Raw genomic sequence first — 2,505 nt, 5'->3', positions numbered from 1 at the left:
TTTTTAGTAGAGATGGGGTTTCACTATGTTGGCCAGGCTAGTTTCAAACTCCTGACCTCAGGTGATCTACCTGCCTTGGCCTCTGGAAGTGCTAGGATTACAGGCATAAGCCCAGATTACTGTGCCAAGCCCAGAAATACATTTTTAAAATTATGGCATTATAGAAAGGGAAAAGCAATCAATACAGGTACTCTGTTTCATAGAACTTGAGAATGTAAAATGACTAATGACTAACACTAAATATGAAAATATTATTGATTAGAGAATACATATTCTGCATGAATAATTTTTCAAGCAATCTCTTGAAAGAACTCAAAAAAAGTTAGAATCAAATTCAGACAGACAATTTACTTCTCACAGATGATTCTGGTTAAAAAGGGACTAATGTTTGAGAACTTGGAATGTGCCTGAGTTCGTAAAATTATGCTTTAAGATTCCAGAAATTTGCCAACAATAGTAAATGCACACTACCGTTATATGTACTGACATTTATTCCTAGTATTTGTTGGATTTGCTGAAAATTGTAACTAATTACACTCTGACACAATCTGAGACTTCATGAATAATTTAGTTCACTTTTGATGAACACTAGTAGCTTAGATTTTGAAGTATATTTTACAGGAATTTCTCCTTTCTGAACATTTTGAACTCCTATATCATTATTTTTAAATAATTTAATATTTTATATTCAAAGTGGCCTTGTAAACTGCCTCACTATCCCTTGATTTAAAATAAAGTATTATCAAGTTGCCAGAGGGGATGACATTTGTTTCAGAATGTGACAAAATTTTCTCTTCTTCATAATTTTTTTCATAATATTTATTACTTCCTTATTTCTTAGGCTATAAATAAAAGGATTTAATAAAGGAATAACTAAAGTATAAAATATAGCAACAGGTATATCTTTATCCCCTTCATTAACTGCACCTGGTCGAGCATACATGAAGAGAAGGGAATCACAGAATATTGACACAGAGAGAAAGTGAGATGCACAAGTAGATAAAGCTTTGCCTCTTCCCTCCTTGGATTTCATTGTAAATATTGTGAAAAGGATGTAGAAATAAGAAACTAAGACTATAGTAAAGATTTGAATTGATCCTGCCAAGATAAATAACACCAATTCATTGATATAAGGGTTAATACAAGAAAGTCTATATAATGGAAGAACATCACAGAAAAAATGATTGATTTGATGAGACCCACAGAAAGTTAACCTCAACAGAAACTCTACTTCAATCATGGGATGCAGGTTGCCAGCTAGGTAGGCTCCTGCAGTCATCTGAATGCAGAGTGTCTTGGACATCATGGTGTGGTACTGCAGTGGGTTGCATATGGCCACATAGCAGTCATAGGCCATTGCCGCCAGAAGAAAGCAGTCTGTAGTTTCAGCAAGACAGAGAAAATAAAATTGTGCCATACATTCATACAGGGTAATCCTTTTGTCCTCAGAAAAGAAGTTCTCTAACATCTTGGGAGTAATAGCAGAGGAACAGCAGGAATCCATCAGAACTAGGTTGCCTAAAAATATGTACATTGGTGTGTGAAGACGTTGCTCTATATAAATCAATGCCACCAAACCAATGTTCCCCACCATGGTGATCAGATAGATGGCAAAGAACACCACAAACAGAACAGTCTTCAGCTTTGGATGATATGTAAATCCTGTGAGGATGAACTCAGCTATCAAGGAGTGATTCTCCTTATTCATCTCCACCTTGTCTGTTGAGAGATGAATGAGGGGTTATAATATTGTAATTGATTGTAATTGAGAGCATATTATTGTTCCTTCAATTTTTTTCCTTTTTACAACAAGTAGAGGAATTTCTTTGTCATATTTCCCCTGCTGTTTCTAAATACATCCTCACATACTTCTAGGGGACATTTGTTCTCCTAAAGTGTCAGTGTCTGTGACCTCAAGCTCTGACCCTTAGGATTCACAAGGATATTTTGATAATTCCAGGGAAGATGTTTAAAGTGGAAATGGTTCATCTTTATAAATTTATGCAAGGATAGCATAAAAAACTAGGGGACCCCTATCTGGTTCATTGTTCTCAAATAATTTCACTGTCAGTTTTGTATTGAAGATCCTCCTTAAAACAAATTTATAATATATATATATATGTCATATAATATAGAATATATATATTATATGGGGCTATATATATATATATACACACACACACACGCACACACATCTCTCTCCAAGAAAATAATTTCTATATATTCTTCCAGTAGATTGAATGTTTTAAAAAAGCATATAACAGATATGTTAAATTTATATCTTAGGAACTGTATGAAATTCACCAAGAACTGAGGAGGAAAATATTTATCTTTAAAGAAAATTATCTTGGAGATTTAAAGAAATAAACATCCGTAGATTATCACTTGTCTCATCCCTTTCCCCAGTGTCACACCCATTTCATAAACATTGACTCTATCCATTCTATTATTCCTGTTGATTTTCTCTTACATGCCTAAATCCTTCCTCCTTTTGATAAGGAATAC

The 2,505-nt window shown here is 33.9% G+C and overlaps 1 protein-coding gene across 1 annotated transcript; it reads right to left on the bottom strand.

The window, feature by feature from the left end:
- Nucleotides 1–742: 742 nt before the first annotated feature.
- OR5K3 (olfactory receptor family 5 subfamily K member 3) lies at nt 743–1,708 on the bottom strand. Its single transcript, NM_001005516.1, has one exon. It carries the CDS (start codon nt 1,706–1,708, stop codon nt 743–745), a length of 966 nt encoding a protein of 321 aa, NP_001005516.1.
- Nucleotides 1,709–2,505: the final 797 nt, after the last annotated feature.

This window comes from Homo sapiens, chromosome 3, assembly GCF_000001405.40.
Source record: "Homo sapiens chromosome 3, GRCh38.p14 Primary Assembly".
Lineage (NCBI taxonomy): Eukaryota > Metazoa > Chordata > Mammalia > Primates > Hominidae > Homo > Homo sapiens.
Note: the sequence above shows the minus strand (reverse complement) of the source record. Positions and strands in the feature narration are given on the sequence as shown.

Coding starts and splice junctions, on each gene's coding strand:
- OR5K3 (NM_001005516.1), bottom strand. CDS start 1,708: ATGAATAAGGAGAATCACTCCTTGATAGCTGAGTTCATCCTCACAGGA.